The following is a 19708-nucleotide window of genomic DNA, read 5'->3' as shown; positions in this document are numbered from 1 at the left end:
GTTTTTTGGCATGTGAAACTATAAAAATGTAGTCACCACTTACTGACACAGCAAAACTGCAGGAAGAATGTACCTGGGATGGGGAGATGGATTGCAAATCAGGAATTCAGTGTGGAACATGTTATGAGATGCCTATTACACATCATTGATTTTATGATTACAGCAAGCAGGAATAGGTAGAAGTAGATCTTGAAGGATAATGAAGCAAGCTTCCATGTTGGAGAAGCTTGCATGGCAAGGAACTGAGGGGGGCCTTCAGGCAGGAGCCAGCCAGGAACTGAGGCCCTGATTCCAACAGCCGAAAAGAACTGAATCCTGCCAGCAATCATGTGAGCTTGGATGTACATCCTTCCTCAGTCAGGCCTTCTGATGAAACCTTAGTCTCTGCTGACACTTTATTGTAACCTGTGAAAAACCCTAAGTTAGAGGACTCAGTAATGTTATGCCCAGATTTCTGACCCACAGAAACTGTAAGATAATAAATGTATATTGTCTTAAGCTGTAAATTTGGGGGCCAATTTGTTATGCAGCAATGGATAACTAACGCATGGTAATTGGAATCTATGTAGATAGAAAACAAAATTGGGGCTTGGCCCTGGGTCACACCATTGTTTAGAAGTCAGTAAGATATAGAGGAGCATGTACAGAAAACTGAGAGCAGTCAGTGAAGAAGGGGAAAGAAAAGACTGTACAATAAAGGATTGGAGAAGGAGGAGGAAATTATCAATCGGTCAAATGCCCTTGATAGGCCAAATATAGATGAGGACTGAGAATTTGTCATTGAAGTCAACAATGTTGAGGTCATTCATACAATAACATTAAGAACAGCGAAGTAAAAAAAAAAATCTACACTTTAATTTCTTTTATAAAAATAGCCCAAATTTCATAAATGAGTTTTCCTTTAAGGAAGATAGAGTTCTACCTATTTCTACTTGCTGCAGCAATTTTAACACTGGAGAAAGATTTAGATTTTCAACTTTAAGTATATCTTTTATAGATGAACACAATGTGCTATGTGAATTATCCAAGGTGACATAGCTAATAGAAGAGTTAGGAACTGAAATGAGACTAAAGTTTCTTGATCTACTGCTCTTTCTGCTACATCAAACTACCCCTTTGATTTCCTACTTCAAGGTGAACAATTAAAAATCTTAAAAAGCTGTATAGCAGTATTAAATACAGTTATGCACCACATAATGATGTTTCAGTCAGTGATGGGCCACAAATACAATGGTGGTCCCATAAGACTATCATATCATATTTTTACTGCACCTTTTCTAATTTTAGATATGTTTAGATCGCAAATAGCATTGTGTTATAGTTGCCTGCAGTATCAGGACAGTAACAGGTTTGTAGCCTAGGAGCAATAGACTATATCATATAACCTAGGTGTGTAGTAGTCTAGACCACCTAGATTTGTGTATGTACTCTCTATGAGGTGCACGATGATTAAATCACCTAAAAATGCATTTCTCAGAACTTGTTTCTGTCATTAACAACACATGACTGTATAGCTCACCTTTTGTACCTGAAGCTGATTTATGTATGCTTTCCCTTATTTAAAAATATGTAAAAATCTTATTAAGAGCAAGGTTATGGGATAATTTTTAAGCTACTGAAAGGATCAACATGTAAAATACAGAAGATAGTCATATGAGAGGTCCCAGAATTTAATTTCAAAGCTCAATAAAGCAAATAAGATTCTGTTAGTTAGAACATCTGCCAGTCACTGTACTACTTTAAAGAATGATCTACAAAGCTCATCGTTAACACGTAAAATCACTTACTTCATAAGATTTTCCAGCTTTCTTTGCCTTCAAATGTAAGCTCATGGATCTTGTTGGTCTTGCGTGCTTCTGTATCTCAGGGCATGTAATAGTTCCTGGGAATCAGTAGGAAGTACAATAAGTTTGTTGGATGAATGAATGTTTGAACTGAGACTCAAAGAACTTAAGTGGAGGCATGAAAAGCAGAAGGAAAAGCCTAAACACAGGCCTGGAAGCATAAGAGGACCTGCCATACTAGGAGATATGAAGGGGCTTGGGTCCCTGGACAGAGAATGGTCAATAGGGAGTGGTGGGAAAAACAATTTGTGTAGTTGAGTGGAGTGAGTCTGCATAGTCCTTGAGTGACAGATGAGGAAGTTTGAGGTCTGGCCTCCATTCTTAAAGCTCAGGGGAGCCACTGAAGAGTAATGATAGGGAGAGTAATACACATAACAAGGCCTGGAGTTTAGAAAGGACTTGGACTTGAGGGTGGATGAAAAGCTGAGACTGAGATAGGAAGCAGGAAGATTCATTGGCTTGTTCTGGATTCATTAAAAAAAAAAAAAAGATGCCACCATATACTTGAGCTAAAACAGCAATCAAGATATTGACCACTCAATGGGATCTCACAAGGGACTGACAGTCCAGTGGGGACACAGATGCATCACAGACCATGGCTGCACAGCATGGTAAGTGTAATAAATGAAGTGAACACAGAATGTGGGTGGTGCAAAAAAAGAGGTTCTGAGAGCTGGGCACGGTGGCTCAAGCCTGTAATTCCAGCACTTTGGGAGCCCAAGGCAGGTGGATCACGAGCTCAGGAGATCGAGACCATTCTGGTTAACACGGTGAAACTCCATCTCTACTAAAAATACAAAAAATTAGTCGGGCCTGGTGTTGGGCGCCTGTAGTCCCAGCTACTCGGGAGGCTGAGGCAGGAGAATAGCATGAACCTGGGAGACGGAGCTTGCAGTGAGTCGAGATCCCGCCACTGCACTCCAGCCTGGGTGACAGAGTGAGACTCCATCTCAAAAAAAAAAGAGGTTCTGAGCTGAGATTTCACTGCAAGTGACATCTACTCTTGATGCCAGAGGCATATGAGAAGCATCAGTAATCAGGAGGGTAGCCCAGGAAGAGGGAGACACATAATCCACGGACAGCAAGGGCCGATGGAAGAAGAGAGCATTCAGTGAGAGCAGAAAGCAAGAAGGCAGTCAAGGCATTCAAACCATAATCTCAAAAATCCAGGTGAACGTGAGTGCAAGTGGGGAGGGGATGGAATAGCTCCAGAAACCCATTCGTTTCCTCAGGCCACTTCACAGTCTGTATCTTGCATTCCCATCCCCCTCCTGTGCCCACCACCAGAGAGCCATTATTCTACCTTCTTCACTGTAGATTAATTTTGCCTGTCTTAAATCTCATATAAACAGAATCATAGAGTATGCACCATTTTTTTTTAATCTGGGTGGTAGTTACACAGGTGTGTCTATACAGAAATCAAGCCATATGTTTAATATTTGTGCACTTTGCCATAGGTATAGTATACCCCAATTTTCAAAGTGGGGAGAAGAAAGGGAAAATCAAAGATGACTCCTACCTTGTGTCCCTCAAAGTTTCCACCAGGCACCGGTTTCACAGGATGGGGTTACATTTTTTAAAGTGTCCCATGTTCAAATAAGCTTGGGAGATGCTAGGTTAAATTGAGTTAAAGCCACTTCATTCTGCAAGTCTTTTCTGAGCTTTCACTACATTAGGAAGCATTGGGAATCTCCAAAGGGGTGATAAATATCCAGTTTCTCAGACTTTTCCTTTCGCAGTCTCTCTTGGGACTCAAATATTAAGGAACTCATGGTGGAAAAATTTTCTAGCCTGAACACTGTGGGAAATGGATTATGTTCTTCCAGGGAAATAATTTTCTTAGGCAAATTGAATTTGAGGTGCCAGTGGGTAAATACATCAGGCACCAAGTCTCCAGCAGCCTGAAATGCAGGAAAGCCCTTCCAAACGCGATCAGGCCTGGGGATATATTTGAACTCTCTGACATATGGTTGGTGTCTGAAAATCTGTGGATAGACATGGATTACATCCCCCAAAAAGAGGCATTGCATGAGATGTTCGCAGGGCCCCGGAGGTAGCTGGGTGCAGGGAAAGGAACCAGGAAAATGACAAATAAACAGAAGTTATGGGATAACAGTGCTCCTTCTTGGGGCAACAATACAGGCTGGATGCCTTCAACAATATTTCTTTCCCATCTTAAGATTTTGCTCAATGCTCATATCAACAGCCAGCACTCAGAGCTCCTTAAATGTCTTTAGAAGTTCCATCATAGGTCAGATGACAGGATTCTTAAGTTGCTAAGAAGAGAAGCTTAGTCCAAAATACAACACTTTCTAGAAGAGTTTACAAATTTCAAACAAACACATGGTTCTGAAATAAAAACATTTCTGCCAGTCTAAAAATTGGTTAAAAACAAAAAGAAGAAGAGGGGCAATATGAGTGTGATTTGCTTGTATTTTGTACTCTAAAGAGGCAAAGGAATTTTCAAATGTGTAAGCATTTTCAAATGTTGATGACATTAAACATTTCACATAGCTAATACTAATTTAGTACTACTTGATAAATATAGTTATACCAATAGTTTGCTTTCATTTGCATTTCAAAGCAGATATATAAAGATTTGTCCATAAAATATAGCAAAGATGGGTTGAATCTGAAGTTAAATGTTAAGCAAAAGGAAAAAAAAACTAGTCAAAAAGAGGCAGCAGTGACATGAAAAAATGTTGGTAATATCTTACGAAAAATTTATAAAAATACAATTTTGTAATACCAAAGAGACAACCAATAAAGATCTTGTTTCTTCCATCTGACTAATCCGGAAACAGCAGAGAATGTCGTTCATTTTAACCATCTTAAAAAAATGATCTTATAATATTGCCATCTGTTGGCATATGACAGATACAGCATTCCAACGATGCAAATAATGAAGCAAAAATACAGAAAATTAAAGGGACAGATGTGAAAAGCTCACACACTCATTTGGCTTAGCATTTCACATCTGTTCTCTCCAAAGCCTTCCCAGTAACACAAATCTAATTCCTAGATCCAGTATCTTGAAATGCTATGCGATGCAGCAGGCAACATATCTATGACTTGCTGAAGATCCATCCATTCCAGCACATCATGTGTTTTCTCATCAATATTGGAAATCTTCTATCCAAAACTCAGTTTCTGTCACAAGGGAGAATCTACATAGGTATACATAGGTGTATACAATGTTGCAGTTTATTTATTCATGTTTCTAAAAAATTGCCTCATAGGCATTTGAAATCAACTGCGACAAGAAACACATAAATATGGTCCTCCATATATTCTACATACCTTTCTATTATTATCCACCTTCTTGACTGGCAAAGAGATGAAAAATAGTACAGATATTAACCAGTTCCTGCACAGTGTATAAACTTATTGATTTACACCTCAAAACTTTTTTTTATATACTTTTAAAAGTTTGGACTCAGGAGGCTGAGGAGGGAAGATCACATGAGCCCAGGAAATCGAAGCGACAGTGAGCCATGATTGCACCCCTCCAGCCTGGGTGACCGGGCAAGGCCCAGTCTCTAAAAAAATAAAATAATATTTTGGACCATGTGAATATATTGCCTATTCAAAAAATATAGTTAAAAATGTAATGAAATACATATTTATTTCACACTTGACACACACTTGCTGCAACCAAACCCTTTCTGTCCACTTTTCTGTTGTCAAGGCAGCATTATGAAGACCAACACTGTGAAGATCGGTGCTTCCCTGAGGCCCTCAGACAACTGGGAGTCTTAATTGTACTCTTGATAGCATGAGGATTCCTAGCAAAATATTTAAAGTTGGTGTCGCTGGCCAGGCGCGGTGGCTCACTCCTGTAATCCCAGCACTTTGGGAAGCTGGGGCTGGAGGATCACCTGAGGTCAGGAGTTTGAGACCAGACTGGCCAACATGGCAAAACCCCGTCTCTACTAAAAATACAAAAATCAGCCAGGTGTGGTGGCGAGTGCCTGTAATTCAAGCTACTCGGTAGGCTGAGGCAGGAGAATAACTTGAACCCGGGAGGTGGAGGTTGCAGTGAGACGAGATTGTGCTACTGCCCTCCAGCCTGGGTGAGAGTGAGACTCCATCTAAAAAATAAAAATAAAGATGAAAAAATAAAGTTGGTGTCTCCATTAAACTAATAGCCTTTAAAAAAGTAATAAAACTATAATTTCAATCAATGGATAACAACCTTATAACTTAATAGGACCAAGAAATTCTTTCTCCTTTAAAGAGGCCTATTACTTAAATTTGAGAACATTGGTATAAACTGCCTGCCTCAGCATTTGTTTTTATGAATGTGTTGGCACCCCGTGGCACTGTATCTAAGGCTAATGTGAAATTAACAAAAGTGAATTTCATATGGAAATCCTGCTTTTCAGCCAAACGAAGGCCCAATGACATCAGAGGCTACAAGACAAAAGGCCTTGCAGTAGTTCCCATGGAGAAAAGTGGCAGGAAAATTGGAGTATGGCAGGGCCCGGAGTACAAGAGTCATGCTGATCTCAAAAGTTCTTTTGCCTTTAGTAGTCGGCAGCATATTTGGGCTGCAACAAACAGGAAATCAACATCTCTCTCACATACTATCAGATATATACTTACATTTTTCATCTTAAACTTACATTTTCAGCTTATGCAAATATCAATATTTAACAGAATAGTTTACATCCAAATAAGGGCCCAATAATTTTTTTTCCTTAAAAGGATTAGTACATTAGTTTAGCTTAAGAAAAACTAGTATCAATGTTAAGGCCACAACATTGAGACCTACTGGCTTGGGTTTCCCCAGGCTCTGGCTCTTACCAGCTGTTTGACATGAGGTAAATTATTCAATTACTGAACTAGAAGCTCAGGCAATCAGGGCAGCACTTCTGACTGACCCTCTAAAGCTGTGTCTTCACGGCAATATGGAATAAGAAAAAACAACCTGGTGCTTGTCAGGAAGATAAAATAGATAGTGTTTATAAAAGACGTACCACAGGCCGGGCGTGGTAGCTCACGCCTGTAATCTCAACACTTTGGGAGGCTGAGGCAGGTGAATAGCTTGAGCTCAGAAGTTCGAGACCAGCCTGAGCAACATGATGAGACCCCCCCCCCACCACCACCCACCGTCTCTACTAAAAGTACAAAAATAATAAGCCTGGCGTGGTGGCACATCCCTGTGGTCCCAGCTACTCAGGAGGCTGAGGTAGGAGGATCCCTTGAACCCAGGCAGTGGGTGGGCGAGGGCAGTGGTGGAGTTTGCAGTGAGCTAAGATCATACCACTGCACTCCAGATTGGGCAACAGAGCGAGACCCTGTTTCAAAAAAAAAAGAAAAAAAAAGACATAGCACAGAGCCTGGCCCAAAACATAAACTCAATATTTGTTCATTATTTTTATTATTTATCCCTCACAATAACACTTCAAGGTAGAAATTATTGAGTCCATTTTATAGGTGAGGAAACTCAGACTCAGGAATTTCCAGTAACAATTGCACAGACAGAAACTGAGAAAGCTATAATATAAGGCTAGATCCGGCTGGCTCTGAAGCCTGTAATCTTTCCACCGTACCACACTGCTCCTCTAAAAGCAGCCCAAGAACTCTCATTTCTCTAGCTGAAGATACACCTCCCTGGCCATTGGTCAGAACCTCCAACTACAGCTTCCTCTCCTCTGTTTCCAGAAGCTGGGGTAATCGAGGCAGCACTTCTGACTATAGTGATTAAAGTATCAGTGGGCCAGGTGTGGTGGCCATGCCTGTAATCCCAGCACCTTGGGTGGCCGAGGCAGGCAGACTGCTTGAGGCCAGGAGTTCAAGATCAGCCTGAGCAACATGGCAAAACTGTATCCCTACAAAAAAATACAAAGACTTAACTGGGTGTGGTGGTACGCGTGTGTGATCCCAGCTACTCGGGAGGCTAAAGTGGGAGGATCACTTGAGCCCTGGAGGTTAACGCTGCAGTGAGCCGAGATCATGCCACTGCACTCCAGCCTGGGTGACAGAGCCCGACTCTATCTCAAAATATATATATATATATATATTAGAGATGATCTTCACAGGAGCAGCTTCTCGGGACAAAGCAGAGGCAACTACTTGCTAATGAGACAAAAACTCTTCTATTCCACCTCCTACTCAGCCTCCTTGGGCTACAGGAAGCCATGAGCAGAAAGGCATCAATGCTGAATCCAATTGAAGGGAATTTCAACTGGATGGCCTGTGAACATTATATTTCCTTTTTCCTGCCAGAGAATTTCCTGGTTATGCATTACAATTTGAGGATCTGTTGAAAACAAAAGTAGAAATAAATACTTGTGGGGTTTTTTTCTGTTTTTTTTTTTTCATGGAAAAACCTCCTCTATATTTTGATATGCCCTCAAGAAACTAAGGAAGCAAATGGATGAAGAGTTGAGTCTATAATGAATGTGGTGGCTCACACTGCAGACTTTACACTGTCTTCACCACACAACAGGGAAATAAAATTCTCTAGACTATCAAATGTGACAAGTCTGCAGTGACAGTCAATCCTTTTTATTTCTTGTCATTAAATGTGCTCTGCATCAGTATAATATGTAATAATTGTCCATGAAATGGATGCCTTTAGACTGACTTACTTTCAGTGAAGGGGAAATAATAGAGATTTGCAATGAGGAGATATTAGTAGTGGTGAGGAGGAGGAGGATGAGACAGTATTATTAAATGTTATTTGAAACATTATTATTATTCAAGTATTATTTGAAATCTCTTCTTTCAAAGAACTAAACACAGACTATAAAAACGTCTTGACCATAATCCGTGAGCAAGAATTCTACAGCCATTTTTTAAATAAACCCTTGCAACATTGTCATTTATCCTCATCCAATTTCTGTAGGATTCCTATTAATGGCATGAGTCACAATATGGATTAAGAGGCTTACACCATAAACATTCATCTTTGTCTCTGTTCCCATTGCCACGTGGAGACACAGAGGCAGGCCACCGTGATAAGGCCCATGTAAGGAACCCTTACCCTGATGGTGTCCTACTTTCATGCACAGTGCCAGGCTCAGCTTCTTAGAAATGCATTCAACCAGTATTTATGTGAGCCTATGTCATGCCAGGCATTACTAAAGGCATGTGAAGGATGCAAGCCACAAGGAGCTTACAGTCAGCTGAACTGGCCTCTGCAATCAAGTGTAGTGTGTGTGACAATAGAATTAAGTATGGGGTTCTGTGCTAGCACATAGGACGGGCTCCTAATCCAGTCACAGAGGGTCAAGAGAAGACTTCCCAAATGAAGTGCCATCAAAACTGGGACCTGAAGTTTGGATAGGTGATATCTAGGTGCAGAAGGGTCCAAAGGAAGAGTGTTTAGGGCAAAGAGAACACCACGCACAAAGCACAAAGGCAAGAGAGACAGCTTGGCATATTTGACAAATGGTAAGTGACTCAGGATGTCTGGAGGGAGGAGCAGGAGAGAATGGGGAGAAGTGAGGCCTGTGGGCTAAGAAATGGCAAATCAAAAAGTACAACCTTGAAAGCCTGATTAAGGAATTTTGTTTTGGTCTGAGGCTGATGGCTAGCTATCAAAAGGTTTTAAGAAGGGAAGTCACACAAGCAGACCAAAGATTCATAAAACATCATTCTGCAAGTGAGAATAGAATAGAAGGAGGTAAAAATGAGGACCTATTGCAACTAGGAGACAAGTAGAAAAGCTGTGTGAAAGGGTGGTTTGAATTAAAGCAAAGCGCAGTGGTTGGTACACAGGAAATGCCGAATGAATAAGTGGGTAAGTACTACTAATAACACTAACAATGATGTGAAGGCAGAAAAAGATGGATGAGGTACGTTAGGAAGAGGAGGGCATGTGCCTCATGGTTATTTCACTGAAGGTGATGAGAAAGCAGCAGCAGTCAAGGATGTCATGGGCTTTCTGACTCAAGCAACTAAATGCACGGCTGTGCTGGTCACTGCCATGGAGATGTGGAAGAGGAACAGGTTGGAGGGTCACAGATGAGGAGGTTGAATCTATTTGGGGACATGTTCTGCTCACTATGGCAATGAATATCTCTCAGCTTCTCTTTTCCAGTCCTCTCTTTTTTAAAAAATTCACCATTTTAACCATTTAAACTGTAAAGTTCAATGGATTTTAGTACACTCAAGATGCTATTCAAATGTCACCACTGTCTAATTCCAGAACATTTTCATCAGCCCAAAAAGAAACCCTATACCTATTAAGCATTCACTCCCATCCTCCCCTCCTCCTATCCCCCTGAAAACCACTAGTCTGCTTTCTGTCTATGGGTTTGCCTATTCTAGATAGTTCATTTGAATGTAACCGCATACAATATGTGATATAACCCAAACAATGGAATATTATTCAGCTGTGGGAAAGAATAAAATACACACTACAACATGTAAGAAATTCAAAAACATAATGCTAAGCGAAAGAAGCCGAACACGAAAGGCCAACTACTGAGAGTGATTCCATTTATGTGAAACATCCAAAATAGGCAAATCCGTAAAAACAGCTGGGCGCAGTAGCTCATGCCTGTAATCCCAGCACTTTGGGAGGCCAAGGTGGGCAGATCATGAGGTCAGGAGATCGAGACCATCCTAGCTAACACTGTGAAACCCCTTCTTTACAAAAATATACAAAAAATTAGCCGGGCGTGGTGGCAGGCACCTGTGGTCCCAGCTACTCAGGAGGCTGAGGCAGGAGAATGGCGTGAACCCGGGAGGCGGAGCTTGCAGTGAGCTGAGATCACGCCCCTGCACTCCAGCCTGGGCGACAGAGGAAGACTCCGTCTCAAAAAAAAAAAAACAAAGACATAAACAAAAAAAAAAAAACGGAAAGCAGTTCTGTGGTTGCCAGGAGCTGTGGAGGGAGGAAACAGGAAGTGATTGCTTAATGGATACAGGGTTTCTCTTTGGAGTAATGAAACAATTTCGGAATTGTATAGTGGTTGCACAGCGTTGCAGAGGTCCTTAATGCCACCAAACTGTACACTTTAAAATGGCAAATTTGGCCGGGTGAAATGGCTCACACCTGTAATCCCAGCACTTTGGGAGGTTGAGACAGGCAGATCACCTGAGGTTAGGGATTCAAGACCAGCCTGGCAAACATGGCGAAACCCTGTCTCTACTAAAAATACAAAAATTATCTGGGCATGGTGGTGGAGTCCTGTAATTCCAGCTACTAGGGAGGCTGAGGCAGGGAGAATTGCTTGAACCCGGGAGGTGGAGCTTGCAGTGAGCCGAGATTGCACCACTGCACTCTCAGTGACAGAACGAGACTCTGTCTCAAATAAAAACAAAACAAAAAAAGGTAAATTTATCTTATATGTATTTTGTAAAAGAAAAACAGAAACACTGAAGTGCTGATACAATCCCTCTCTGAAGAATAGTGTTTCCACCTTTGAAGGGAGTAAGAGCTCTCTAATGATCATCACAGGTTCTGGAGTCCAACTGTCTAGATATGAATTATTGTTCCTCCTCTTAATAGATGTGTGAATTTGCACATCTATTACTCAATTTTTCTAACTCAGTCTTTTTCTATAAAATGGAAATAATAATAGTACCTGCATAGGAAGTTATTGTAAGGGTTATGTGAAATCATAAACACACATCTTGAGCATGGTGCCTGCCCCAAAAATAAATGTATTCAACAATGTGGTTACCTTTAAAATTATCGTTGTTGTTATTGTTATTATTATGTGGCGACAGTGATTGGTCTTCAGGGTAAGCACATGTAGTATGGGCCAGGAGGGACTTTCCCAGGTATTTCTGAAATGGAGCTAAAGAGAAGCACTCTTTTCCTCTCGTACTATGGAGCTCTGCAATAGGAGTTATGATCTACCAGCCATCATCCTGGAGCCAGTACACCAAAAGAATCCAGGACATGTGATTGCGGCCAGGTTCAATGTACTAGAGTTCCCCATGCCAGGTGCCCATGATTTGGTCACATTATCCAATGGCTTCCCCATTTTGGACTTAGTGAATTCAGATTTCAGTTTTGTTTCAATATTAATTTGAACCAAATAGTGCTCAATAGTATAACTGTTGCCTGGTAGGACCAATGGTGCATTGAAGTAGAGATGTTCAGCAGACAGCTGGCTGCCTACATGGATTCAAAAGTAGAATCTGGGGTAGAAACATGGGGATAGGAGCCCTTAGCCTATAAAAAGTAACAAACCTGCGAGAGTAAATAAGATACATAGAGAGACAGCATAGAATGAGAAGATAAGACCAAACTTCAGGGAACAGAAATATCTAATGCAAAGACAGAGACAGGCGCGCTAAAGACAAGATGGGAAAGCTAAGCAGAAAGGAAGGAGAAAAGCCAAGTGAGCATAAAATATTAATAACAGAAGCCAAAAGAAGAAAATGTTTTTAGAGGCAACTGGTCAACAGTCAGTTACTGAAGAGAGGCCAAGTATAAAAGGAGGACCCAAACTGTCCTTTGGATTTGCCAAAAAGAAACCACCAGTCTCTAGCACATTCATTTATGAAGACCAGGAAACCACAGGGCCCTTGTCGCCCCTTCTCTTTCCCTTATTTAGGAGCCCTGAACTCCCCCAGACTCTATCCATTCATGCCTCTTGTATGTTGATGCCATTTCTTGGAAGAAGATGAGGGCAATGAGTTAGGGCCCCTTTACCCCCTTCCCTCCCACCAGATTGCTCTCCCTCCTTTCATTTCTTCCTCCAGGCTCTACTCTGTCAGCCCTCCCCTTTTTATGCCCCACCGATACACTGGGACCACCCCTTACCTGGGACAGGATGAATGGATCAAAGGAGTGAGTTTGCTAAAGAACATCCTTTTCCCTCTCATTCTATCCCTTTCCTCTCCTCGATTCCTTGTAGAGCTGCTGCAGTTCTGAGAGGGGCAGTTCTACCTCCTCTGTCCCTTGGCAGAAGGACGTTTCTACACCTCTTAGGGGATGGGCATTAAACTTCTTTTGCCCCCTTCTTGTCCCCTTTGAGGGGTATTTAAGGTGGAGAAATCAGTTGTGGTTTCACTGAATCATGGTCACCTGTATTTATTGCTGGGAGAAGCCTGAGGGTGGGGGGAGATGATCATGTGTGCTCGGGGTTGGCTGGAAGCCCTGGGTGGGGGGTTGGGGGAGGACTAATGGGAAGTCAGCGGGAATATTTGTGGGTATTTTTTTTACTTCCTCTTGGTTCCCAGCTGTGACACATTTTGATAAAAGGAGAAACAATAAAAGGATAAACCATAAAAAAAAAAAAAGAAAGCAAGCACCAGTCTCTTGCATAAAAACCATCTCATGAGGGATGGGCAAGGAATGTGGCTGGGGAAGGAAGTAGGAATGAGCACGGCTTTGAGGTTATCACTCTGATCCCAACACTAGTTGTACAGCCTTGGACAAGTGTTTGCCTTCACTGAGTCTAGGTCTCATTATTCATAAATCTGCAAACGAGAATTGAAATTACAATAATTGAAGGCTACACGTAAAGCACACCTTTTACAAAGGTCAGAATAAATATTAATGTGAACTGGCTAGGGTAGCAAACCCAGTCAAGGACCTCTCAGGAATTTCCCTGAAAACTCCTGGAATTCATTTTGCATAGGTCCAAGTAGGCTTCCTTAAAAAAATAATAATGATGATGAGGACTTTGGGATTTGTGGACTTTGGGATTTGTAGAACTTCAGTGTGACCCTGCACTGGAAATGCCATAAACACCTGGATGGGAACAAAGGAAGGAGGGGGTAAGTCCTAAGTCTTCTAGTCATGGATAGTGTGGTGTGCACCACCCAGACGCCTTCTGTACGACTGAAGCCCTCACAGCCCAATGCTGAGGACTTAGGTGGCAGACAGAACTTAGCTATAACTCAACCCAAAATTAGCCTCAGTCAGAGAGTCATGTGGCCAAGATCACACCCCGCCCCGCCCCAGAGCAGGCTGCAGCCAAATGACTGGCCAGTGTGGCTCAAAGACCAAAGGGCTGTCCCTACCCAGAGGCCCTCAATCCAGGGAAATTGTGCTGAGCCAGCATCACAGTCCACCTCCACGGCCCCGTCCTGCTACATTCACACCCCTGCAGTTGTGCACTGTGACACCAGCCCCAGGGAACCTTCTGCACACAAATCTCTATCCCAGAGTCTGTTCCCTAGGAAACCCCAACTAAGACACCTACATTTAAAAAGTTGATGCTGAAAGAGAAGGAAAGGTAGGCAGACTGGAATTAGGAGTGAGTTAGCTCTGACTCTATCCCCAAATATTCAGCAGCATCAAAAAGGATAACTTGTAAGTGGTGTTTCTCAAGTGCTCCCTGGAGCACTCTCTGAAGACTTAAAACCTGAAAAACCCGGCGACCCTCTATAGAACCTGATACTAAATTTGTAAAGTGAAGGAGAGAGTCTTGCCCCAGCTTGGCCCTGGTTGGAGCCCCAAATCTGTAGTGTCAAGAGTGGCACTGGTGGTGGCAGTAGAGTCATTTTAACAGTCATCAAGAACAGGAGAGCTGCCCAGGGGTCAAACAGGGTTGTGGGGAGAGCAGGTGAGGTCTGAGGCCGAAGGAGCATGCCAACACCTGTGTCCACCCACAGCCCGGATGCTAGAGCAGTTTTCCTGTACACCAGCACCCAGATCCATCTACAGCAAATGAGGACAACGCCAACACAGAGTAATACTTACGGGACAGGAATGTGAACTGCACAAAGCCAAGGCAGCCTGCTTCTACTCATAGATTCCTTTAAAAAAAATCAGTTCATGATCCTAAATTGTTGAAAAATAATTTACTTTTCACTTCGGTCTCTGAGAAAAAAAAAGCACACCAAAATTTTTCAAAGTCCTCTTTCCTGTCCATCATTCTTCCACCCTACAGACTCTCCTCTATTCAGGTTTTCTTAGATTCTACTCATTCTTTGTCTTTCCTGCCCCTTCACCCTTCTCTGTCATTTTTTCCTGCCAGTGGCTCACTAACCTCAGAGGTACCACCCCACACCCTCTCGTACTGCTTCAGGGGGTGGGGGCATGTCTGTGCTGGGGGAGAGACACTTTACCTGTTGCCCCCGTGCACAGGACACAATGTCCTGGCCTTTTACTGCCCATGACATGAGCTCCTTTCTTGTGGAACAAGGGCAGCTTCTTTGCTTTCATTCCTGTCATACTAAATTTATTACTTTTAGAGACTGTCCTTTATTTCAGGACATCCTCTCTGCCTTTGAGTGTTGGAATGTCATACCTTTGACAAAATAATGGTAACAGTAAGTGGTAGATATTTTGGCGTTTCTTTTTCATGTATTTTGCTAAATAAAACATTTGCGTCCCTATGGCAGCTCTCAAAACTCTCCTTAAATTTTACAAGTCCAAAAGTCTGAGAATCATTACAGGAGGACAATATACAAAGACAGACTACAAAGCAGGAAGGAGGAAGAATTTAGGACCATTGGTCTGCAACAACATGACTGCTATCACGCTTGGAAGATGAATTTGAGGAGAGGCCAGGCGCAGTGGCTCACACCTGTAATCCCACACTTTGGGAGGCCGAGGCCGGTGGATCACTTGAAGCCAGGAGTTCAAGACCAACCTGGCCAACATGGCAAAACCTCGTCTCTACTAAAAATACAAAAAGTAGCTGGGTGTGGTGGTGAACACTTGTAATCCCAGCTACTTGAGAGGCTGAGTCAGGAGAATTGCTTAAACTCAAGAGGCTGAGGTTGCAGTGAGCCAAGATTGTGCCTTTGCATTCCAGTCTGGGCAACAGAACCAGACTCCATCTCAAAAAATAAACAACAACAAAAAACAATAATAATAATAATAATTTGAGGAGATGCTGGGGAAGAAAAGGAAAGGAACAACAGGGTTTAGTAACACGCCAGTCACTACGTGAGGGCTCTTTACATGCATGATTATATGTAGGTATTACCAATGGTACTGATGATGAAACTGAGTTTCAGAGAGGTTAAGGAAATTGTTCAAAACCACTGAGCAGGAAGGTGGCATAGCTGGAGATAGTCGGGGCTGCCTCACAGCAGAGGCAGGACATTAGCAGTTGATTTTGGAGACAATAGAATTAATGGTTGGGTCCTAGGTCAGTGTAGGACCCCCAAAAAAAGGGTTGGGGTAAAGTCTGCCTCATTCCCTAACGATAGACAGGTACATTCTCCTGAAGTATAAATCATTTGAAGAGCCTCAGAGATGGAGCCAAGCAAATAAAAGATGATTATCTTCAACCTCACTAAATCACCGCTCATCACACATCTACACACATCCACACAGAGGGTCATACAGAAGTTTAATTCCCCATCCACCAGCTGCTTCTGCTGTGATCTCAACCACAGAACTTTGCCTCAAGTTATCAATAGTTTTTTTTCTTTCTTTCTTTTTGACTGAGCTAGCTCTACCGGTGCATCCTGACAGTATAATTAACACTAGCCTGGGGAGAGGAATTGTTCAGCATTAAAAAAATAAGTATTGTAGACAGATACTTTTAGATCTTCTCGCATGGCTGAGGAAGAATCAGTACACAGAGCGTGAAGTCAAGAGAAGTCAAAGAACAAAAGAAAAAGAATGCTAATGAATTCTCAGATGTGTTGGAAACCTGTTAAGTCCTAGATTTGACACTAGACATGGAGTTAAGTGATTTTTAATTTTTCTAAATTGTAATTTTAAAATTGAATATAATCCAAGAATGCTGTCTGCCACTTTACAAAACCTCACTAATGGTTACACATGAGGGACATATTAACTCCAACCAAAGGGACTCCCCTAGGAGTCAGCCTTCAAGAGTTTGGGACAAAGGTGATCTTCCATGAAATTATGCATCTATTTTCCTGTACGTATTTCTAACTGTGCCGCTTATGTTTGTCAGGAGGGCCACATTGCAAAGTCATGAGGTTTTGGAGGTAGATAGGGAGGTTATCTAGTTTAGTATCTCAGTTTAAAAAGCAAGGAAATGGGCATATTACAGTCCAACAACTACGACATCAGTGACAACCATAGGATAAAAACCAGACCCTGTGGATCTTGATCCAAGACCCATTCTGTCTCATCACTGGACAGTTCTGGGGTTCAGGAGTCCTCTCGATACAAGTATCCCCAACTCTCATCTTTCAGATTGTCCTGTGAGTTTAGTGGTAATAAAATGCTGTCTTTCATAAATCAGCAACTTCTTAATTGAACACAACGGCATTGTCCCCAAACAATCATCTAGGAAAGTAAGAGTTAGAAAAATATTTCCTGGACTAATTCTCTGAGATGTTTCTGAATTCACATGTAAATTAGTCTACTAGCTTTTCATGTAAAATAAGACAATGTATAGGAAAATGCATGGTCGATTATTTAGAACTCTTTTAATGTGATATGTTGTTATTATTATCATTATTATTACCACTTCCACTATTACCATATTTGAATTTGGTGTTGTGTTGAGACATATAGTAAAATAAACACTAATTTAGGTTAGCTGAAAGAGAACAATCTAACTCATACTCTATGTTATTAAAATGTACTCTTGGTATGGTTAAGTCCATGGTCTGACTCAACATTACTGCTAAAAAGTATAACCAAACACGGGTTTTTGTCTGTCCTGCTACAGGATAAGAAACATTTATATATGAAACAGTACATTTGCATGCTGTGACAACTGTGCTAGATTCTTTAAAAATAAATTTATTATCTTAATTATTATAAATATGTCTATATATTAAAACCTCTTGAATTCAGGTTTCCAATAATACAGAGCTCAAACTCATTTTCTCTTTGTCAAAATGAAATGTACCTTTTCTTTCAAGGTAATGTAAAGGTATATTTCAGTACAGCACAAGCTGAATTAATGAAATTTAAGTATCTGGTCTCTGGAAAGTAATTCTACTTGAAAGTCTTTCAAAATCCTACATTGCTGCCATCTGGTGGTCAAATGTGGTTCTCTACTATTATTTTTAAAATTATAATGATTTTTCTTGATAAATAACAATGTAAACTCTACCAATAGGTGGATACTGTTGCAAATTTAAATGTATTGCCATAAAGAAAATGCAAGTACATAATTAAAATAATTACCTGCAAAAGTATATGTTTATATTAGTATTTATACCTAAAGAAATTCTTTACTTGGATATGTTCTATAGTGGGTTATTAATTACCACATAGAACAAGGTCCCTGCCTGGTGAATACAACCCCAAAACAAGGAGGAATCATCTTTGCTAATTACACTTTATGTATTTTGTTAGTATACCATAGAGTTTAACAGTTTGTGGATTTTAGAGTTTCATGGCCATGGGTCCAAGGCACATAAGGTCCTACTACTTATTAGCTAAGTGACTTTTGACAGATTGCCTAACTGTTCTGTACTTCCTCTTCTCATCTGGAAAATGAGAATAATTACACTGAACTCTCATATTTGTTGTGAGGTTTAACTGTGCATGTATATAAAGTGTCTGACACTTAGTAAGCATAGAATTAATGATAGCAATTACTGTCCTAAACAGCATTTCTGAGCTAAACAGCAACATAGATTAGATGCAAGGAGAATGTACAGTTGGTATATTTTCCCTAACCCTGAATTTTCAGTCAACTTGTACCTAAAGTGCAAATCAATCATCTTCTTCCTACCTTTCCCATGTAAACATTTATGAAGAGATTGTCTCTTGAAAGACAAAATATTTGTCTTAGTCCATTTCGGATTACTGTAACAGAATGACACAGACTGAGTAATTTATAAAGAAAAGAAAGTTATTGGCTGGGCGCAGTGGCTCATGCCTGTAATCTCAGCACTTCAGGAGGCTGAGGCAGGCGAATCACCTGATGTCAGGGGTTCAAGACCAGCCTGACCAACATGGAGAAACCCCATCTCTACTAAAAATACAAAATTAGCCATGCGTGGTGGCACATGCCTGTAATCCCAGCTACTCAGGAGGCTGAGGCAGGAGAATCACTTGAACCCAGGAGGCCGAAGTTGCGATGAGCCAAGATCATGCCATTGTACTCCAGCCTGGGCAACAAGAGCAAAACTCTGTCAAAAAAAAAAAAAAAAAAAGAAAAGAAAGTAATATTTTACAGTTCTGGAGGCTGGAAAGTCCAAGGTAGAGGGGCCGCCTCTGGTGAGGACCTTTTTGTTGTGGCAGAAGGTTGGGGGGCATAAGAGCACAAGAAAGCAAGAGCAAGACAGGGCTGAAATCACTTTTATAATAAAGCCACCCTCATAATGGCATTCATCTGTTCATGAGCCCTCATGACCTCATCGCTTCTTACTAAGCCCCACCTATCAACACTGTCACATTTGGGATTAAAGAACTTTAGGGGACACATTTGATCCATAGTAATATTTCTTGCTCTTTTCAAAATAGCCAAGAATATAAGAAATTTATACTCAGACATAGGAAGGATGGGAAATCTTCACTGAATTCAGTCTATCAGCCGTCCCCAACCTGTTCTGGCACCAGAGAACAATTTCATGGAAGGCAATTTTTCCGCAGGGGATTGGGGGAGGTTTCGGGATGAAATTGTTTCTCCTCAGATAATCAAGCATTAGTTAGATTCTCATAAGGAGCGCACAACCTAGATCCCCAACATGCGCAGTTCACAATAGGTAGGGTTCAGGCTCCTATGAGAATCTAATGCTGCTGATGATCTGACAGGAGGCGGAGCTCAGGTGGTAATGTTCAATGGCCTGCCACTCACTTCCTACTGTGCAGCCCAGTTCCTAACAGGCCACAGACTGGTACTGGTCCACAGCCAGGCGACTGGGGACCCCTGCTTCAAATGACTGATTTCAAGGGCAAACTAGAGATAGTGACATAATTTAGAGGTTTTCTGATTCTGACAATTCTCTATCTTTCTGGGCATTCCAAACTAGAAGCAGGTGTTTTCTGGATAGTTGGTTGCTACCCTCTGCTAATCCCTAAAAGAGGTAATCTACCACCCAGGAACTAACAT

At 41.5% G+C, this 19708-nt stretch overlaps 1 long non-coding RNA gene across 1 annotated transcript in view, besides 1 other annotated feature; it reads right to left on the bottom strand.

The window, feature by feature from the left end:
* The window catches only part of LOC105375873 (uncharacterized), a 39300-nt gene extending 35609 nt beyond the window's left edge, over nt 1-3691 (bottom strand). The window contains exons 1-2 of the long non-coding RNA XR_001745931.2: nt 3364-3691; nt 1788-1882 (exon numbers count right to left, since the gene is read on the bottom strand). This is a non-coding gene — a long non-coding RNA (uncharacterized LOC105375873). The remainder of the gene's footprint in view (nt 1-1787; nt 1883-3363) is intronic.
* Nucleotides 14153-14212: an enhancer, noted in NCBI's record as "active region_27453". NCBI's record gives its function as "activates an Ori minimal core promoter by ATAC-STARR-seq in GM12878 lymphoblastoid cells {active_cell/tissue: GM12878}" and the evidence as "EXISTENCE:reporter gene assay evidence [ECO:0000049][PMID:35858748]".

This window comes from Homo sapiens, chromosome 8 (assembly GCF_000001405.40).
Source record: "Homo sapiens chromosome 8, GRCh38.p14 Primary Assembly".
NCBI lineage: Eukaryota > Metazoa > Chordata > Mammalia > Primates > Hominidae > Homo > Homo sapiens.
Note: the sequence above shows the minus strand (reverse complement) of the source record. Positions and strands in the feature narration are given on the sequence as shown.